At 37.2% G+C, this 22317-nt stretch overlaps 1 protein-coding gene and 1 long non-coding RNA gene across 3 annotated transcripts in view; both read right to left on the bottom strand.

The window, feature by feature from the left end:
• The window catches only part of HS2ST1 (heparan sulfate 2-O-sulfotransferase 1), a 195348-nt gene that overhangs the window by 129698 nt on the left and 43333 nt on the right, over window positions 1-22317 (bottom strand). The window lies entirely within an intron of this gene.
• LOC124904211 (uncharacterized) lies at window positions 1992-10193 on the bottom strand. Its single transcript, XR_007066207.1, has 2 exons — window positions 5242-10193; window positions 1992-2474 (listed from the first exon to the last, which is right to left on the bottom strand). It is a non-coding gene; the product is annotated as an uncharacterized LOC124904211 (long non-coding RNA).

The following is a 22317-nucleotide window of genomic DNA, read 5'->3' as shown; positions in this document are numbered from 1 at the left end:
TTCATGACAGTTATATTTTAATTTTGTATTCATTAATTTGTCATATGTCTCTCCCACTACAATGCAAGTTCCCTCAAAGCAGGGGCCATGATTTTCTCATTTATCACTGTATACTCAATGCTTAGCACATTGCCCAACATAGAGTGAGCAGGCATTCAATACACATTTTTGAATGAATGAATGAACTTATTTAGCAATTCTCTTTTTAGAGATAATTCCTCCTTAATGTAACAAATACATTGAGCTTTTTCTCGCCATACCTTATCTAAGTAATTTGTCTTTTATATTGAGCAAGATTTTCCAAAGAAGAAATAGCATATCCAGTGAAGACAGGGTAATCTTATGCAGAAGTAAAAACAAATAAGAATATACTTCATGACCTTTAGGATGGCTACTAAAAAAAGAAAGAAAATAACAAGTGTTAGCAAGGATGTGAATTAACTGGAATCCTTGTGCATTACTGGTGGAAATGTAAAACTATGCAGCTGCCATGGAAAATGGTATGATGATTCCTCAAAAAGTGAAAGATAGAATTACCGTATGACTGAGCAATTCCACTTCTGGGTCTACAGTCAAAAGAAGTAAAGGCAGGCACTCAAACAGATATTTGTACACCCAGGTTCATGGCAGCACTAGTCACAAAAAGCCAAAAGGTAGAAGCAATCCAAGTGTCCGTGAATAGATGAATGGATTAACAAAATGTGTATACATTCAATGTAATAGTACTCAGCCTTAAAAATGAAATTCCACACATGCTATATAACATGAATAAACATTGAAGACATTATGTTGAGTGAAAAAAGACACAACAATACGAACACAAAATCCAGTGCTATATGACTATTTACATGAGATATCTGGAATAGTCAAATTCACATACAGAGATAGAACAGTGGTTACCCAGGGGCTGGGGGAAGGAGAAAATGGAAAGTTATTGTTTAATGGGTACAGAGTTTGAGTTTGACATGATGATAAAGTTCTGTAAATAGATAGTGATAATGGTTGCACAACTCTATGAACGTAATGTTAATGAACTATATACGCTTAAAAATTGTTTTAAATGACAAGTTTTACGTATATTTTATTACAATGAAAAATAATTGAAAAGCAAATAAGAATAAAGATTCACAGCCAGCGGCAGTGGCTCACGCCTATAATCCTAGCATTTTAGGGGGCTGAGGCAGGCGGATTGCTTAAGCTCAGGAGTTCAAGACTAGCCTGGGCAACATGGCAAAACCCCATCTCTACAAAAAAGATTAACCAGGTGTGGTGGCGCGTGCCTGTAATCCCAGCTACTTGGGGTGCTGAGGTGGGAGGATCGCTTGAGTCCTGGTAGAGGCTGCAGTGAGCCAAGATCATGCCACTGCACTCCAGCCTGGGTGACAAAGTGAGGGCCTGTCTCAAAAAAAAAAAAAAAAAAAAAGATTCACAAGTAAAAACCCTTAGGAATCAGGAATCAGTATTTTTCAAATAAAATATTTCTCCTTTTAGACAAAAGGGACTGAGATACAGTCCTGCATCTATTTTACCACTATCAATATATTATATTCTTAATTTTTAAAATTCCATTTCTATTATTATATGTAATTATTCAGTTGGAATGTAATTATGAACTATATATTCTCAATGTTCAGATCTTCTGCAACATGCCAAATTATACAACCACAAACTTACTAAATGTTTAACCACAGTATCATCTGATAATTTAGATGCTAGTCTATTCAAATACAGAGAGTCTAATTTGTGGCCATATATGGATATGAGGATTCAAGAAAAAGGACATTTATTAAGGATTTCAAAACTGGTATTCCAGACTTACTAAATAGAAAACTGCCTCTTTAAAAATTTCTCATGAGTATTCCCTTTTTGAGTAAAACTTACCTAGCAGAGATATATCTGAATTTGTCTCTGAGACACTGCCCAATATTTAAGTGATTAAAACATGCATAATACATGATAAATTCTTAAAATTCACTTAAAACTTACAAATATTTAGGGTTCTGTAAGATTTTTATTAGCTTTTATATGTGTACAGTTATGCATCTCCTAATGACAGATAGATGTTCTGAAAACCGCCTTTATTCAGTGATTTCATCATTGTGCGAACATCAGAGTGCATTTACACAAACCTGTTAATAGATGCTATAGCCTATTGCTTATAGGCTACAAACCTATACAGCATGTTACTGTACTAAATTTAGGCAATTGTAACACAATGGTACTTGTGTATCTAGGCATAGAAAAGATCATGTGTTGCAATACAAGTTATGACAGGTATAATGTCATTAGGAGATAGGAATTTTTCAGCTTTACTATAATTTTATGGGACCACCATTGTATATGCAGTTGTTTGTTGATTAAAACATCCTTATGTGGTACATGACTGTACTGAAACCACAAAATCAATGACCCAAACTTTCCTTTAGTTGCTTTTTAACTTCTCATGTTCTCCGTATCTTTATATTTCTGCATCTCTGAAAAACAAAATAAGTGTTACCTTCAGCTAATGTACTCATTTCTCTCAAGTAGTTAGCCATAAAAGCATTACCAAATAGCCAGTAGAATAGAAAGAAGACCTGATAAATTTGACACTGCCTTGCTTTCTCTTGGGCTTGAGGTTAAAAGTCCTTTCCTATTTGAAAAGCTGCTTAGGTATTAAGTGAGTATCTTCCTTTTAAGTACAAGACTTGATATTTTATTAGATGGTCTTCCATATGCTCAGATGACCAAGAAATCATAATTTTGTCTCAGTAAATGTCACAATAGTCACATTATTTTAGCATATGACATTACAAATATGCAGTATGCCTTAAAGCTGCCAAGCCAATATAATACAAAATATCTCAAGTTAATCAAAGACATGTCAGCCTTACAATATACAACTACTGGTGCAAATCTTCTCACTCCCTTGTGCGTGCCTCTGAAAGTCAAATTCTTTTATTCGGGAGGACTTTGTTGGCAAATGACAATTTGCCACTTGCCAATCACCCTCAATTTGTGTGGCTTTGACTACTAGTGTATACATTGTCTGATGACATAAACAAATAAAAAAATTAAGCTTTAGTATGGAGTTAATATCCATCATGTAGGTAATTATTAGCCTGAAAAGAACTGCACTAATATTCTTCCTTTTAAGAAATTTAATGTAATCAAAGTAAATATGAAACACAAAATCATTTATACCAAATCAGATTATGATGCCATGGTTTTTGTTGTTGTTGTTGTTTTGTTTTTTGAGACAAGGTTTCTCTCTGTTGCCCAGGCTGGAACACAGTGGTGTGAACATAGCTCATGTATCCTTGAAAAACCAGGCTCAAAGATCCTCCCACCTCAGCCTCTCAAGTAGCTAGGACTACAAGGCACATTTTTTATTTCTGGTAGAGACAGAGTCTCACTATGCTGCCCAGGCTGGACTGGAACTTCTGGCCTCAAGGGGTCCTCTGGCCTTGGCCTCCCATAGTGCTGGTATTACAAGTATGAGCCATCACACCCAGCCCACTGCCATGGTTTTCAAGAGAACAAGTAAAAAAAAAATGGGCAGCAGGAGACACTGGGCATTTAAAATATATATATATATATACAATTTTATAAAGAAAAGATGGATTTACAAAGTGTTTCATGCTACAGAAATAATAGACTCATTCAAAGAAATTCTTTTTCATAGCATTTAATTTGAATATGTTATTCATTGAATTTGTCAAAAGTGGTGTTAAATTAAGCTCATATTTTTCTTCTTAAAAAATGTTTTAGCTTTATCTTGCCTGTTTTTAATTGAGAAAAAAATCAATTCTAATTATACCTAACCAAAGCCATGGTTTCTGAAAGCTTTAGTCTTTCTAACTTATATCCCATTAGGAAGCATTCAGCATTGTCCTAATATAAGCTTTCCAACAGAACAGTTCATCCCCCCTACTCCTGGGAATAAGCAGCCAGACAGATCACTTCGATGGCAGATAAAAAGATGAAATAGCAAGTTACTTTGCCATGGCAACAACTTTAAAAATTCTAAACAGATCACTTTCTCCTATTTAAATATAAATGTGGTCTAAAGCAGCTGCTACAATGACTGACAAGTTCTCAATCAAAATCTATTACCATGAGGGTTTCCAACTTAGAATGTGTTAACATCTGCCACTGAATAGAAACAGAAACTTTAAATCTATTATTCCAAACTATGTTTCTGCTATAGATACGTAAATTGCAGCAATTCAGTCTAATAATCATAATGCATTTAATAAATGTACACTTTGGTTTTATGCTAGATAATTAGGACAAAAAATACCAAAGATACATTTGCCATGGCACTTTAAATTTGGATTTGTAAAGCTGAATCTCATGAGAACTATTTAAATCCTCCAAAGTATTTGGCCAAAATTTACAGCCTGTAGAAATAGCCAGTAGAAAGGTCGTGATTTTTAGTTACTAGCCCCTGTACTTCACCCTTAAAATAGGCTCTCACAGTTGTATAACCAGAGAACAAAATTTATAAACTTTTCCATTGATAATGCTTTTAAATACATATAAAGATTTACTAAATGCCATCAGTTACATTTAAAAGCATATCATAGCATTTGGTAAAAGGTATAAAATAAACAATGCCTTAAACTGTAAAAATTACCTCAGATTTAAATTGAACACATATTTAGAATTTATCCAACAGTTTAATGCCATCTTGATATCAACAAAATTTTATTAACTACACTAACTACATGTGAGTCAAAAGCTCTGCCATTCCCTTTAAGCAGTCTCATTTAGATTATCTACAGATTCAGAATTTCTATTTACATATATTAGTAGCTACATAGCTATATGTCATCATTTCAGCTTCCTCCCCTCAGCCTTTGGTCTTTCTAAGAGCTACCAAATAATTTTATCTCAATCAGAGAAAAGAAAAATTAAGGTGCCTTTTTTTATGCAGCCAATTAGCATTTTGAGCACTATAAATTACAACAGTACTTCTTCCTTTGCCTACCACCAAAATAGGAAAAGCTTAAAAAAAAAAAAAGAAAAAGCTATAATTTTAAAACACTGATCTCTTTTCCACAGAAAATGACTTTTAGATCACATGGAAAGTAACATGATTTTAAAATATGCGTATAAAACTTTTTTCTCTACCAAAGTCTTTGAGTACTTTGGAAGAGAATAAATTAAATTTAAGGTTCATGTAGATACATAAGGGTATGCCAACCGAACAAATCTTAAAAACTACAGATTACCAAATAATAACTTTCAGGAGCTCACCAGAATCCAGCCAGTTCTGTGGTTGCAAAGGGAAGAATAAAATTCTGTACTCAAAGGAGTCCCAAGAAGTTGACTTCAGTCAATTTGAACCTCTAGGTAATCAAACTCCATAGATAATCAATTTAAAAGATTCTAAAGAGACCAAAAGAGATCAGAAAGATCCTGAGTTTGGAATCTACTTAAGAAAAAGAATAACTTGAGAGTCTCAGACCTAAAGACATGCCAAAATGCGATGACTACTAAATGAAAACATTGTTTTTCTCCTATACTCACACAGAAACACCAGTGGGTCTTAATGTGTGGGTTTTCCATACCAAGCAATGCTCCAATTCTCTGCAGTCACCAACTGACTGTCCTACAATTTAACCCAATTCTGCTCAGAGTTAGTGCAGAACCCACAGCTTAAAGGTTCAGTCCCACAAGACTGTTCCCACTTCAGATGCCAGTTCCAAGTAAGGGTCCTCAGGTTATTCACAAACTTCTGTTTGGATTGGTTATAAATCAGAGGTTTCCATGACATCCTCCATTTGGTTTGATAATTTACTATGACAATTCACAAAACTCAGGAAAGCACTTTAGTTACATTTACCAGTTTATTATAATGAATGCAACTCAGAAACAGCCAAATGGAAGAGATGTGTAAGGCAAGGTAGAGGAGGTGCACAGAACTCCCATGGCCTCTCTGGACTCATTTCAATGCAACCTAGAAGCTCTCCAAATCCCACAGTTTAATAATTTTTAGCATTCATCATGTAGGTATAATCGATTATTAATTCAATCTCCAGTCCCTCTCCCCTTTCCAGAAGATGGGAGTGGGGCTGAAATTTCCAAGGTTCTAATTATGGTGTGGACTTTCTGGTGACCAGCCCCCATTCTGAAGCTATGCAGGAGCCCAAGTGTCACCCCATTAGAACAAAAGACTCTACTATCACCCCAAAAATTTAAAGGGATTTAGGAGTTCTGAGACAGGAACCAGGGTCAATGACCAAATATTAAAACAGAATATAGGACAGTACTCCTACAACTCAGGAAATTATAAGGGCTTTCATGTTCTCTGTGTCAGGAACTGGGGGTAGGACCAAAAATATATTTCTTACTCTGTCACAACTATAGACTTAAACTCTTAAATTGCTCTGCAAATGCTAAATTGTCACAAGACTCCTCTGGATAAGGGAGAGCTAGACGACTGATTTCTAAAACCTTAAGACTTATGAATTCTACATATCATATTTTATCCCATTAAATGGAAAACTGGGTTCAAGGAGAACCACCTTGGTTTTCAAATCAATTTCATTAAAATATAATTTGCCTACAATAAAATATACTCACTTCAAATGTACACTATAAGGTTTTGGGAAAAAAATTAAGATAGAAGATATTTCCTTCATCCCAAAAGGTTCCTCAGCTCCCTTTGGGTCAACTTCCCACTCTTAGCCCAAGGCAATCAACAATGTACTGGCATTGTAGACTAGTTTTGCCTTTCTAGAATTTCATATTTATCCCTTACTAATAATTCTGTGAGGTAATTTGAGGCCCAACAAAGGTAAGCAACTTGCACAACTTCACAGGACTCCAAGATTAGAATTTAGGGTTTGAAATCAGATCTGTCTAATGCCAAGGCCTACTATTAGGTGATACTACAAGATTTACATCTTGTTCATTTTCGCATCCCTAGCGTTTTTCATTTTAGCATACTTGATCATTGAATGATAAAATGAATTTAAGGAAACTGATCTAAACTTGATCCAAAAAAAAGGAAAGATTGATTTTGAATGATAAATCCATAGATCTTGGTAATTAGTTAGATTTAAAAAAAAAAAAGACCATAAATTTACACAAATTAAAAAAAAAATTTAAGAACAAAGAAAGATCCTTAGATTTTATCTGCATAGTCTCAAAGTGTCTCCCAAGAAATGTATTAACTGCAAATGGAAAGATAGCTTTACAGTGGAGAAACCCAGCAGAAACCACCTTAACAAGTGATCAAGGTTGCTATCACCAGTAAAGAAGACATACATCGTGAACCCCATGACAAAAGACATATTGTTTCTGTGATATTGTTGTCAAATATGCATAACTCTGGCCCAATCATGAGAGCACATTGTACAAACTCAAAGTGTAGCCATAGAAGACAAAAAGTCTGCAGAACTATTATAGACTGCAGAATAAAGACAACTAAATCTAATGTGCAATCCTGGATTATATCCTGATCAGAAGAAAGGCATTAGAAGAAAAACACGTGGAATTCAAATAAGGCCTGCAGTTAATAACATATATGTCAACCTCCTAGTTTGAATAACTGTCCCATGGTTATGCAAAATGTTAACATTAGATGAAACTGTGTAAGGAACACAGTAGTCCCAGCACCCTATCCCCAGGGGATGCGCCCCAAGACCCCCAGTGGATGCTTGAAACTGCAAACAATATTGAACACTACATATGTACTAAGTTTTATCCTATACATACCTATGATTAAGTTTAATTTACAAATTAGGCACAATAAGAGATTAACAGCAACAATAATAAAATAGCCAGGTGTGGTGGTTCTTGGCTGTAATCCCAGCTACTTGGGGCTGAGCCAGGAGGATGGCTTGAGCCCTAGAGTTCAAGGCTACAGTGAGCTATGATTACACCACTGCACTCCAGCCTGGGCGATAGAATGAGACCTCCATCTCTTAAAAAAAAATAATTATTAAATAGATTATAATAACATTGTAATACAAGCCATGTGAATGTTCTCTCTCTCCCTCTCAAAATATTTTATTATACTGTACTCATCAATTTTCAGACCAAGGTTGACCTTGGCTAACTGAAACTAGAGAAAGTGAAACCTAGGATGAAGGAGGTATGTATATATGTAAACACAAAACGTTTTTTAAAAGGGGTCCTTAAAAATTTTTCTGAAACATTAACAACTCATAACCTTGCAACTGCAATAATGAATGCACTTAAACCAATCTTATGATGAAACTCTATGGTTAATTGTTGTAAAATTTAAATCATGCCAACTTTTACTGAACATCTTCTCTATGTAAATCAGTATAGAATGTGGTGACATAGTGATTCATTTAATAAACAAGTTATGACAAGTATAAAAAGTTGAAGGTTAAACTATTGAAAGAGCTAGTTCAAAACACAAAGCCAGTAATTCTGAAGAGTGATAGTTTTCATATCTTCTGAGATCAGAATACTTTTGCATTTTTTTTTTCTTTCAAGAATGAAGACTTCAACCTCGGTCAGAATATTAATACGTATTAACATTATAACCTCTTGTTGCACAAAATTCCTACAAATTCTTGATCAAAAACATGATGCAATGAAATAAAATTTTCAAGTCCTAACCAAACATAATGCAGTATATATGATAGATATACACTACAAGGGACTCTGTTTTGTTCAGAACAAAACTTTCTGCTGTGAAATGCTCATTTCCCTACTCTAAGATTGGACGTGTAAAGAAGCTATCACTTTTATTCAAATTCCACATCTTCATAGCCAATCTGTTAGATATAAGACTAGACATCTAACCATCTGACCTAAGCTGAGTACATAATAAAACCCCACCCTAGGTCCAATTTATATATTGGTTAGGGTTTTTTGGCTTAAAACAAATTTAAGAAATTAAAAATAAGAGTAAGAAGGAGGTGGTCCGTTTTATTGGAAAGACTGGAAGGATGCTTGGGTAGCTCACAGAACTGAAGAAATAACTAAACCGCCAAGGTTTTTTTTTGTTTTGTTTTGTTTTGTTTTGTTTTTTAAATAATGACAGGAATCAGAGGAGTTCTATAGGCCTTAACAGCACTAATGTATAGACCTTCCCTCTTGGATGCCACTATTTCCATGTCTAGCCAATTTAATTTCTTTGTTTGAGCAGAAACTTTATCTGAATTTTCCATCATTGTATCTCTAGCAACCAAACATGTAACAGGCCTTCAATAAATACTTGCTGACTGAATGAACTAATAAAATTAGTCAATAAAGTAATTCCTGAGTGAGAAAATCAAATTGGCCTAGCTTATTTCAGATATCTATCCCTAGATAATCAACTGATCTGGCATCAGTAGAAGACATTTTGGGGCCTTTTCCGTAAAAGAGAACTTGTCAATTGTGCTAACTGGCATCTATTATATATATAAATATTAAAATATTTGACCTGTAAATTATTTGTCATATCAAATGGAGTTTTCATGTACATTTTAAGTCCTCTAGATTTGCATTTCTGTACCACCCTTAAATTATTTCTATAATTTTTTCTCATAAATAATAAACAAAGGCCATGTGTGAACCAAAATAACTTTAAATGTGGACATTCACTCATGCCATCACCGGAAAAATTAAATAAAAATTACAGGCAGGGCACAGTGGCTCATGCCTGCAATCCCAGCACTTTGGGAGGCCAAGGAGGGTGGATCACTTGAGGTCAGGTGTTCGAGACCAGCCTGGCCAACATGGTGAAACCCCATTTCAAAACAAAAATTTGCCAAGCATGGTGGTGCACGCCTGTAGTCCCAGCAACTTGGGAGGCTGAGGCACAACAATCACTTGAACCCGGGAGGTGGAGGCTGCAGTGATCTGAGATCATGCCACTGCACTCCAGCCTGGGCAACTGAGCAAGACTCTGTCTCAAAAAAAAAATTATAAATTAAAATTATGCTTAAAATCTTTTAATTTATATTTCATTAAGCAGATTTTTCATTCAGTTTTTTTATTCACAACTGACCTATACTTCTTGTGGATTCTTCCCAGCACTGTTATGGCTTACAGAGGAAACTATTTTAATCATGTTTATTTGCATTAATACATTATTACTTGTAAAATGTGCATTGTTAGGATGAATAACCAAAACAAAATAAAATCATTCTGTTATAAAATGTTAAAGTTGTCTCTTTAACTAAATACTCATTTTTTTTTTTTTTTTGAGATGGAGTTTCACTCTTGTTGCCCAGGCTGGAGTGCAATGGCGCGATCTTGACTCACCGCGATCTCTGCCTCCCAGGTTCAAGTGATTCTCCTGCCTCAGCCCCCCGAGTAGCTGGGATTACAGGCATGTGCCACCACGCCTGGCTAATTTTGTATATTTAGTAGAGACGAGGTTTCTCCACGTTGGTCAGGCTGGTCTCGAACTCCTGACTTCAGGTGAACCACCTGCCTCGGCCTCCCAAAGTGCTGGGATTACAGGCGTGAGCCACCGCACCCGGCCCCAACTAAATACTCTTAATTAAAATATTTTATATAACTCAGTCTTATCAGTAAACAAGTTACTGCTAAAAGTAAAAAGCCAACTCTTAATTAAGATATTTTATATAACTTAATTAAAATATTTAAATTATTTTATACTTAATTAAAATATTTTATATAACTCAGTCTTGTCAGTAAACAAGTTACAGCTAGAAGTAAAAAGCCAACTCCAAATTGTTTTTATAAATTTGTAAAATTAACTCTTCTACTTCATATGATCATAATTCTAAGTTTCAGTAACATCTATACAACTGTGTTTATGTGTTTTAATGTGTAACATTATTATGAAAGTCTAGCTCTTAGAAAACCATTAGATCATTCCAACCTTCACGCTGAAATGAATTACATGAAATTAGCTGAGAAGGAATGACTTCTGCTGCAATTCCACACAGGCACGTGCGCACACACACACACACGTTTATAAAGCTACTTCCATAAGTCACAAGTAGAGAAAAAGGCTCAATAAACAAGTTAAAAATGTGTGCTTCAGAAAGAAAAGGGCATAGAAAGAAAATGTATCCTTAAATCCAAATTGAGGTTTCAGAAGAACCCTAACCAGGGACTTATAACTGAGGTTAGAACTAAGAAGTAAAATTTTAAACCTGAAAGGCAATTTTAAGCCTGAAAGATTAATGTAATTTTAAGAACAGGCTTTTAAATGAAAACCTCTGTAGGTAAAGTATTAAGATAAAGTATTAAGTATGAAAAGTAACACTTTATATTTAGTACATACTTTGACATGCATATATGTCAAGAAATCATATATTTGTAGCAACCTTACTTACATGGAATTGGTACAAAGAATAACTTCATGAAAATATTTTTATTCAATTCTTTCAGCAAAGAAAAACAATTCCGTTTTCTACACTACTCAGCTGAATGGTACTAATGATTCATCTTATGTCTCCACACAAATATGAGAGAATAAAATTAGTTTACAACATTCATTTTTAACAGAGTTAAATTCCCAAAAATATGATTTCTTGGCATCTTAAATCTAGCAGCATGAAGCTTTTTTTTTTAAACAAATGATTAAAGTAAAGACGTTTAAACCGTCTACAATAATAGAGAAAGTTAGAAGAACCACTTATGAGGACTGGAGGCTGGGTGTGCTGGCTCATGCCTGTAATCCACCACTTAGGAAGGCGGAGGTAGGAGGAATGCTTGAGGCCAGGAGTCCCGAGACCAGCCTGGGCAATATAGTGAGACCTCATTTCTACAAAAAGTCAAAAAAACAGCTGGGCCTGGTGGCATACACCTGTAGTCCCAGCTACTCGGGAGGCTGAGGTGGGAGAATCACTTGAGCCTGGAGGGTTCAACTGTGCCACTGCACTCTAGCCTGGGTAACAGAGTGAGACCTCGCTCAAAAAAAAAAGGATTGGAGAAATAAGTAATCCAAAGATTACCTAAGCCAAAACCACACAAAACTCAAGACTTCAAAAACTGTGTTACCAAATACATATATATGCTTTGGATATCATGCAAAGCCTACATCTAAATAAATAAATCCCACATCAAAGGAAATATAGTGCAAATCAGCAAAACAAATAATCATCAGAATGTACAGACAACCCACAGAATGGGAGAAAATAATTGCCAACTATGCATCTGACAAAGTACTAGTATCCACAATCTCCAAGGAACTCAAAGAAATCAGTAAGAAGAAAACAAATAATCCCATCAATAAGTGGGCAAACGACATTTTTGAAAAGAAGATATACAAATGGCCAAAAAACATATGAAACGCTGCTCAACATCACTAATCATCAGGGAAATGCAAATTAACACCGCAATGAGATATCACCTTATTCCTGAAGGAATGGCCATTAAAAAGTCATAAAACAATACATGTTGGCATGGATGTGGTGAAAACAGAAACTTACACCCTGCTGGTGCAGATGTTAATTAGTGCAGCCTCTATGGAAAACAGTACGGAGATTCCTTAAAGAACTAAAAGTAGGTCTACCATTCAATCCAGCAATCCCACTACTGGATATCTACCTAAAGGAAAAGAAGTCATTATATGAAAAAGACGCAGGCACATAAATGTTTGTTGCAGCACAATTCACAACTGCAAAGGTATGGAACCAACCTAAGTGCCCAATGACCAATGAGTGGATAAACAAAATGTGGTATATATACACCATGGAATGCTACTCAGACATAAAATGGAACAGAATAATGTCTTCTGCAGCAACTTGGATGGAACTGGAAGCCATTATTCTAAGTGAAGTAACTCAGGAATGGACAACCAAATACCCTATGTTCTCACTTATAAGTAGGAGCTACATTATGAGTATGCAAAACCAATCAGGGTGATGTAATGGACTTTGGAGACTCAGTAGGGGGAGAAGGGGAGGGGAATGTGGAATAAAAGACTACATATTGGGTACAATGTACACTACTTTGGTGAGAGGCAAACTAAAATCTCAGAATTCACCACGATATAATCCACCCATGTAACCAAAAACCACCTGTACCCCAAAAGCTCTTGAAATTTTTAAAAATTAAAAAATAAGAAATATAGTACAAATGGTTACATAATAAAGAGCTAGTTAATACGCCACTTTTAGAAACTAAAGATCCTAATACTCCTTCAAAGACTAAATAAGCCGGGCATGGTGGCTGTAATCCCACCTGTAATCCCAGCACTTTGGGAGGCCAAGGTGGGCAGATCACCTGAGGTCAGGAGTTCGAGACCAGCCTGACCAACATGGAGAAACCCCATCTCTACTAAAAATGCAAAACCGGCTGGGCATGGTGGCATATGCCTGTAATCCCAGCTACTCAGGAGGCTGATGCAGGAGAATCGCTTAAACCTGGGAGGCAGAGGTTGCAGTGAGCTGAGATCGCACCATTGCACTCCAGCCTGGGCAACAAGAGCGAAATTCCGCCTCAAAAAAAAAAAAGGAATGCACTCTATTATTTTTTTAAATGACCCAAACTAAAGTTTAGTAAGAGAGATTTGTATCATGGGTCAAAATGTTAAAAACAAAGTAGCTGCAACAGTATTCTTAACAAAATAATTAACAAACAAAAAGCATTATTAAAAAGATGATAAATTGGGCATGGTAGCATGTGCTGGTAATCTACCAGCTACTCAAGAGGTTTCAATGGTTAGGATCATTTGAGCCCAAGAGTTCAAGATCAGCCTGGGCTGTAAGACCTCTACCTCAAACAAACAAACAAAACAGGATGATTACAAATTGTATCTACTAACAAACTGTATTCAACAAGTTCATATTAAAGTTTTATTTCCCATCACGTTTCTAATCCAACTAAGAAATAATATCGTATGAATGCTTTACAAGTTTCAGAAAGTAAAAAAGTAAAACTTAGAAAGAACATTCCATAAAATTAGAGACTCCAATTTAAGAGCAATGCCCCCTAACCCTAACTGTTATAAATATTGTTCAGAATTCAGGTGGCTATCACCGGAGTAGGAAAAGTACCAAAGAACAGATAGGAGGAAAGGTAGAAACACAGAAGAGAGGAAAGAGAAGCATATTGTAGTATTTACAGGGTACATCAAATAGGAGTCCAATCAAAAAAACAGAAACCTCTCCATATATTTAATAGAAGACATAGCTACTAATACAGGAAATTTTCCAGCACACATTTGGACCATGGAAGGAGGAGCTCTCTGATAAGAGCTAAAGTCACAAAGGACAAGAAGCCCCTACCAGAGAAATAGCCTTTACCAGACATGACAACCAAAAAATACCCTGGCTTCTCCCTTCTACCTGTCCTCCAATCTTCCGCTAGTATCTGTCAATGGCCAAACTCATGCAGAAGCCTGTGGCTTGGCCCTTAAAACAGAAACAGAGGAAATGAAAATTGAGAAACAGAAAACCAAACAGGCAAATGATAACACAAAGTATCTTCCCAAAATCTCTTCTGGTATTAGTAGACACTACAAAGACCTTAGATCCTATTGCTTATTCATATCATTCCTTGTATAAACTATTCTTTTCCTGAGAGGGTAGAAATACTCCTGTATTTCTAACTTTAATGCTATTTTTTAAAAATCCATTATGATATCTAAAAATGTGAGGACTATATCTAAGTAGCACAAGCCCTTCAGGATTCCAAGGGTCATTTATCCTAGTGGTTAGATCTTAATCACTGGCTAGAGATTTTAATCCCCTAAAAAAAAACCAGCCTCCCACCTCCACCCCAAGACCAATTAAATCAGAACCTCCAAAAGTGGGGCCCACACAGTGGTAGTTTTCTTAAAACTCCCCAGAGTGATTCTAATACGCAGCCAGGCTTGAGAACCACTGGTTTATCCAAAATATTGCTGGAATTTAAAGGATTAAAAACCAAAATTTGCTCAACAACACCCTAAGGTCTCAGCCAGAAGAGGGCAGCAAGGAACTATTCTGGAAGGCCACAAAAGAAAAAATAAGATGCCCTAGTACCTTAGTCCCTTAGGAGCTGTGCAGAGGGGGGAAAAGCCCACCGAGGTTCAAGAATTTTGGGATAAATGCCATGCCTCAAGTGGGAACTAATGAATGAATGGTAAGGAACCAAGCAGAGATAAGCCCCCAAGCAGGGTAAGGTGAAGGAACAAGAGAGAGCCAGTAGATGGTCAGAAAAGTACCAGGCACAAAATGCCACTCAATTGTGCTCATTTTCCAGTCATCCTGATTTCCTTAGCTAATTACTTTGTCTTACTCTATTACTGAAAGATGCATAAAATCCTTTTTGAAACAAGTCTGAAATTAAGGGGATCACTTAAAATATGACCCAGACACACCTAATCTTGGCTAGCAGATCAGTCATTTACACACATTATCAGTAATACTACAAATGTATAATGTTTAAAGGAGATCTAGAATGAGTAAACTAGTGCAAATCTACCATGACTACTAGAAAAATAGCTCTAAGCACACGGGACATCATCAGTCTTCACATATGAAGAGAGTGTATCTACTATTACTAACATTATTGCTGCTAATCACAAAACAATAAAAACAAATAAATTGAACTGTGTAACCTTTAGGAACTCAGATTGGCACTGAATCACCTGTCACTTACTCATGATAAATAAATATACATGTGTGTCTGTGTGTAGAAAGGAAGCAATTACTAAAGAATATTCTTAAAGATATTTAGCTTTAAGATTTAATAAACACAGCTCTCCCTCTCCCTCTCCCCACGGTCTCCCTCTCTTTCCAAGGTCTCCCTCTGATGCCGAGCCGAAGCTGGACTGTACTGCTGCCATCTCGGCTCACTGCAACCTCCCTGCCTGATTCTCCTGCCTCAGCCTGCCCAGTGCCTGCGATTGCAGGCGCGTGCCGCCACGCCTGACTGGTTTTCGTATTTTTTTGGTGGAGACGGGGTTTCGCTGTGTTGGCCGGGCTGGTCTCCAGCTCCTAACCGTGAGTGATCTGCCAGCCTCGGCCTCCCGAGGTGCCGGGATTGCAGACAGAGTCTCGTTCATTCAGTGCTCAATGTTGCCCAGGCTGGAGTGCGGTGGCGTGATCTCGGCTAGCTACAACCTCCACCTCCCAGCCGCCTGCCTTGGCCTCCCAAAGTGCCGAGATTGCAGCCTCTGCCTGGCCGCCACCCCGTCTGGGAAGTGAGGAGTGTCTTTGCCTGGCCGCCCATCGTCTGGGAAGTGAGGAGCGCCTCTTCCCGGCCGCCATCCCGTCTAGGAAGTGAGGAGCGTCTCTGCCCGGCTGCCCATCGTCTGAGATGTGGGGAATGCCTCTGCCCCGCCACCCCGTGTGGGATGTGAGGAGCGCCTCTGCCCGGCCGCGACCCCGTCTGGGAGGTGAGGAGCGTCTCTGCCCGGCCGCCCTGTCTGAGAAGTGAGGAGCCCCTCCGCCCGGCAGCCGACCCATTTGGGAAGTGAGGAGCGTCTCCGCCCAGCAGCCGCCCCGTCCGGGAGGTGGGGGGCAGCCCCCGCCAGGCCAGCCGCCCCGCCCGGCCAGCCACCCCGTCCGGGCGGGAGGTGGGGGGCAGCCCCCGCCCGGCCAGCCGCCCCGTCCAGGGGGGGAGGTGGGGGCCAGCCCCCACCCGGCCAGCTGCCCCGTCCGGGAGGTGGGGGGGGGGGCGCCTCTGCCTGGCCGCCCCTTCTGGGAAGTGAGAAGCCCCTCTGCCCGGCTGTCACCCCCGTCTGGGAGGTGTACCCAACAGCTCACTGAGAACGGGCCATGATGACGATGGCGGTTTTGTTGAATAGAAAAGGGGGAAACGTGGGGAAAAGATAGAGAAATCAGATTATTGCTGTGTCTGTGTAGAAAGAAGTAGACATAGGAGACTCCATTTTGTTCTGTACTAAGAAAAATTCTGCCTTGGGATGCTGTTGATCTATGACCTTACCCACAACCCGGTGCTCTCTGAAACATGTGCTGTGTCCACTCAGGGTTAAATGGATTAAGGGCAGTGCAAGATGTGCTTTGTTAAACAGATGCTTGAAGGCGGCATGCTCCTTAGGAGTCATCACCACTCCCTAATCTCAAGTACCCACGGACACAAACACTGCGGTAGGCCGCAGGATCCTCTGCCTAGGAAAACCAGAGACCTTTGTTCACTTGTTTATCTGCTGACCTTCCCTCCACTATTGTCCTATGACCCTGCCAAATCCCCCTATGCGAGAAACACCCAAGAATGATCAATTAAAAAAAAAAAATACAAAAAAAAAGATTTAATAAACACAATTTTTCTGTACCTTCTGACAGAAAAATATGAAAAAAAATTCGAACTTTCTCAGGACTTTTTGTTTTTAGCTACTAATAGAGAATTAGCCCCCTGCTTTTAGCTTATCCAAAAATAAATACAGCAATACCACCTCTTTCTATACTACCACCTTTTTCTAGGGGTTGAAGACTAGAGGAGAATCACTACCTTGGAAGAGAAGAAATCAATTATCAATTGAAGAAATCAATTATTTTCACTTATGGAACTTACTGACTTTAGGCAATGGATATATGACTTCATATCTTTTAGAGAATGCTTGGGAAAAAAATAAAACTGTATGTTCCAATCCAAAAACTTATCTACAACTACCTATAACCTATATTTACTTTGAAAAAAAAATCTTATTGTACAGACTAGCCTCTCTTTTCAATGATCATTAGGAATCTCAGAGCTGTAGTTTTGTTTTGTTGTTGTTGTTGGTTTTTGTAATTCACCTGTAAATCACAGCTGTCTAGCTGAACACAGCATCCAGGCAAGCCACGTATCTTACCCAATCATGTGTCCAAACTTCATATTTTATAATTATCTGCATTATCTCAATTTGTATTACCTTAAAACTACTTCAAGGGGAGGCTCGATTCTACAATGAAGCTCTAAAATGTGCAATGTTAGGTTACTGTTTTTGTAATTCCACAGTAAAATTCCATATATACCCTTGAGGGTAAGGATTATGCTTAATCATGATCATGCTTAAGGATCCAAGTATCTTAATCATCCGTGTACAAACTTCATATTTTATAATTATCTGTGTTATCTCAATTTGTATTACCTTAAAACTACTTCAAGGGGGAGCCTCAATTCTACAATGATGCTCTAAAATATGCAATGTTAGATTACTGTTTTTGTAATTCCACAACAAAATTCCGTACATACCCTTGAGGGTAAGGATCATGCTTAATTTATCTTTGTGTCTGTCAATATTTAGCAACATGCCACTATTGGTAATGCACACGGTCCCAACAAGATGTTTTTCCTTCTTATTTTTTTCACAATATGTATCTTACATATATTGCAATACATTAAACTAGATGTATAGAACATTTATGGCAGCATTACTTACAATACTCGAAATATGAAAATAAACCAGATGTCCATCAGTGATAAGTGGGTGAACAGTTACATACATATAATGAAATATTAGTCATAAAAAAAACTCAAATATATATACTATAACTTGGATGAATCTTGAGACCATTATGTTAAACGAAAGAAGCCACACAAAAAAGGTCACAAATTGTATGATTCCTTTTTATGATACATTCAGGACAGGCACATCCATATAGAGAAAAAGCAGATTAAAAGTTATGAGGGGACCTGCTTAGGGGGAGGTTAGGGAATGATTACCTAATGGAGTATAGGGTGTTTCTGGAGTGTGATGAAAAAATTTTGAAACTAGAAAGAGCTGTTAGTTTTGGTTGCACATTATGAATACACTAAATAACACAGAAAAGTACATTTGACAATGATTATTTGACTGTGAAGTGATTTTCACCTCAATTAAAAGAATGTATTTGAAGAAAAATATGTACAATTTAAAGACTTAGAAAATGAGTACTTAAATAACACACCACCATGATGATGGGAAATAAAACTCTTCCACCACCCTCAGAAATCTCTCAAGTGTTCCTTCTTGATTCTCCCTTCCACAGAGATAAAAACTATCCTTCCGGTAATCATTTCTTAGCTTTTCTTGTTTTATCAACAATATATTCTTATTCAAACAATATTAAACAATATAGTAAAATTTCATCATAGTATATGTTTTCCCTTGATTTCTTGTACTCACCACTGTATTTGTAATATTCATCACATCTGTAGTTCATTTTATTGCTTGTATAGTTCAAGGAATTTTTTTTTTTAATGGACAGAGTCTCACTCTGTTCACCCAGGCTGGGGTACAGTGGTGTGGTCATAGCTCACTGTAACCTCAATCTCCAAGTAGATTTTTTTTTTTTTATTAAATAGACTCTGTGCATGTCTTTTCATGGCCTGATAACTCATTTCTTTTTATGGCTAGATAATATTGCATCGTCTGGATGTACCACAGTTTGTTTATCCATTAACCTACTGAAGGACATCTTGGTTGCTTCCAAGTTTGGGCAATTACAAATAAAGTTGCTACAAACATGTATCGGCAGATTTTTATGTGGACTTAAAGTTTTCAGTTCATTTGGATAAACACCAAGGAACATGACTGCTGGATCATATGGTAAGAATATGTTTAGCTTTTAAAGAAACTGCCCAAGTGTCTTTTGAAGGTTATTATTTTGCATTCCCACCAGCAATGAATGAGAATTCCCATTACTCCACATACTCACCAGCATGTGGTATTGTCAGTGTCTGGAATTTTCATCACTCTAATAGGTGTATAGTATCTCACTGTGGTTTAAATTTGCATGTTCTCTAATGATATGTGGAAACATCTTTTGAAATGCTTGCTTGCCATCTGTATATCTTCTCCAAGGAGGTTCAGATTTTTTTGTCCATTTAATTGTGTTGTTCATTTATTATTGAGTTATAAGGGTTCTCTGAATATTTTTGGATGCCAGTTCTTTTTCAGGTATGTATTTTCCAAAGATTTTCTCCCAGTCTGTGACTTATCTCTTTAGTCCCTAAACAGTAACTTTCACAAAACGTACATATTTTATTTTAACGAAGTCCAACTTAACAACGTCTTTCTTTCATGGAGTATGCTTTTGGTGTTTTGTCTAAAAAGTTATCACCAAACCTAAGGTCACCAGATTTTCTCCTTTATTATCTTCTAGGAGTTTTACATTTTTGTGCTTAACATTAAAGGCTACAATTCACTCTGAGGTAGTTTTTGTGAAAAGTATAAAGTCTGTGTCAAGATTCTTTTTTTTTTTTTTTTTGGTGGCGTGGAGGGGAATGAGATATCCTGTTATTCCAGTGCCACTTGTGGAAAAAATTACCGTTTTTCCTTGTCTCTGCTCCTTTGTCAAGGATCAATTTACTATATTCGTGGTCTACCTATGCGCTATTTTGCTTCAATGATCTATTTATTCTTTCAACAATACCACAATGTCTTGATTACTGTGGCTTCATAAGTCTTTAAGTACAATAGTGTCAGTCTGACTTTGTTCTCCTATAATATTGTGTTGCCTAGTCTAGGTCTCTGACCAATATAAACTTTAGAATAACTTTGCTGATAGCCACAAAATAACCTGCTGCGATTCTGAATTAAATTACACTGAATCTATAGATCACGTTGGGAAGAACTTGACATCTTAACAATATTGAGTCTGCCTAAGCATGAACATGGAATATCTGTTTATTTAGATCTTCGATTTTTTATTTTTGTCATTTTCCTCATATAGATCTTGTACTGTACTTATGTTGCAAGATTTATATCTAAGGACTTTAATTTTTTTGTGCTAATATAAATGGTATTGCAACACTGCTATAGTCTTTTATTTTTTTTGGAGACAAAGTCTTGCTCTGTCACCCAGGCTGGAGAGCAGTGGCGTGATCTCAGCTCTCTGCAACATCCACCTCCCAGGTTCAAGCGATTCTCCTGCCTCAGCCTCCCGAGTAGCTGGGACTACAGACGTGCACCACCACGCCCAGCTGATTTTTGTATTTTTAGTAGAGACGGGGTTTCACCATGTTAGCCAGGCTGGTCTTAAACTCCTGACCTCAGGCAATCCGCCCACCTCTGCCTCCCAAAGTGCTGGGATTACAGGCGTGAGCCACTGCACCCAACCTGCTATAATCACTTATTAGTTCCAGAGCACTTGTGATTTGTTGGGACTTTCTACATATACCAACATGTCATTTGTGAATTAAGTTTTATTTCTTCCTTCTCAATCGGTATACCTTTTATTTTCTTTTCCTGTCTTATTGCATTAACCAGGACTTCCAGGATGATGCTGAAGAGTAGTGAGAGGGGACATATTTGCCTTTTCCCTAATCATAATAGAAAAGGATCTATGTTCTCATTAGTAAATATGATGTTAGCTGTAAGTTTTTTGTAGATTTTCTTTATCAAGTTGAGGAATTTTCCCCCATTCCTAGTTTCCTGAGAGATTTTAATCAAGAATGGATGTTGGATTTTATCAAATGCTTTTTCTGCATCTACTGATATGACCATATGATTTTTCTTATTTAGACTGTGGATGTGATCGATTACATGAATTGATTTCCACATGTTGAACCAGCCTTGCATACCTGGAATAAATCCCACTTAGCTATAGTATGTAATTCTTTTTATACATTTTTGGATTTGATTTGCTAATATTCGGTTGAGGATTTTTACATTTATATTCACAAAAGATTTTGGTCTGTAGTTTAGTTTTCCTTTCTTGTATGGTCTTCGGTATTAGGTACTCTTTGGTATTAAGAGTAATGCTGAGTTAAGAAGTATTCCCCCTGTTTCTATTTTCTGGAAGAGACTGTAGAGAACTGGTATAATTTCTTCCTTAAATGCATAGTAGAATCAGGGAGATTTTTTAAAATAAAACATTTAGCTTTTAAAGTAGAAATGTAGGTAATAATATGCATAATGTTAATTACAAAATAACACTGTAGTTGACCCTTGAACAACATGGGTTTGAACTGCACAGGTCCACTTACACAAGAATTTTCTTCCACCTTTGCCACTCCTGAGACAGCAAGACCAACTCCTCCTCTTCCTCCTCAACCTATTCAATGTGAACACAGCAAGGATGAAGACCTTTATGATGATTCACTCCCATTTAATAAACAGGAATACATTTTCTATTCCTTGTGATTTTCTTAATAACCTTTTCTCTAGCTACTTTATTGTAACAATACAGTACAGAATACACATAACATACACACAAAATTTGTGTTAAGTGGCTGTTAATGTTATCGGTGAGTCTTCCAGTCAACAGTAGGCTATCAGTAGTTAAGTTTTTTAGAAAGTCAAAAGTTACATGTGGATTTCCCACTGTGCAGCAGAGGCGCTGATGCCCCTGATCCTCTCATTGTTGAAGGGTCAACTGTAGCTACCTATATATAAACCCCTTAGCTGGGTGTGATGGCTCATGCCTGTAATCCCAGCACTTTGGGAGGCCGAGGCGGGTGGATCACCGTGGTCAGGAGTTCGAGAACAGCCTGGCCAACATGGTGAAACCCCGTCTTTACTAAAAA

This window comes from Homo sapiens, chromosome 1, assembly GCF_000001405.40.
Source record: "Homo sapiens chromosome 1, GRCh38.p14 Primary Assembly".
NCBI classification, from domain to species: Eukaryota; Metazoa; Chordata; class Mammalia; order Primates; family Hominidae; genus Homo; species Homo sapiens.
The sequence above is the reverse complement of the archived record's forward strand: the minus strand, read 5'-3'. Positions and strand labels throughout refer to the sequence as shown.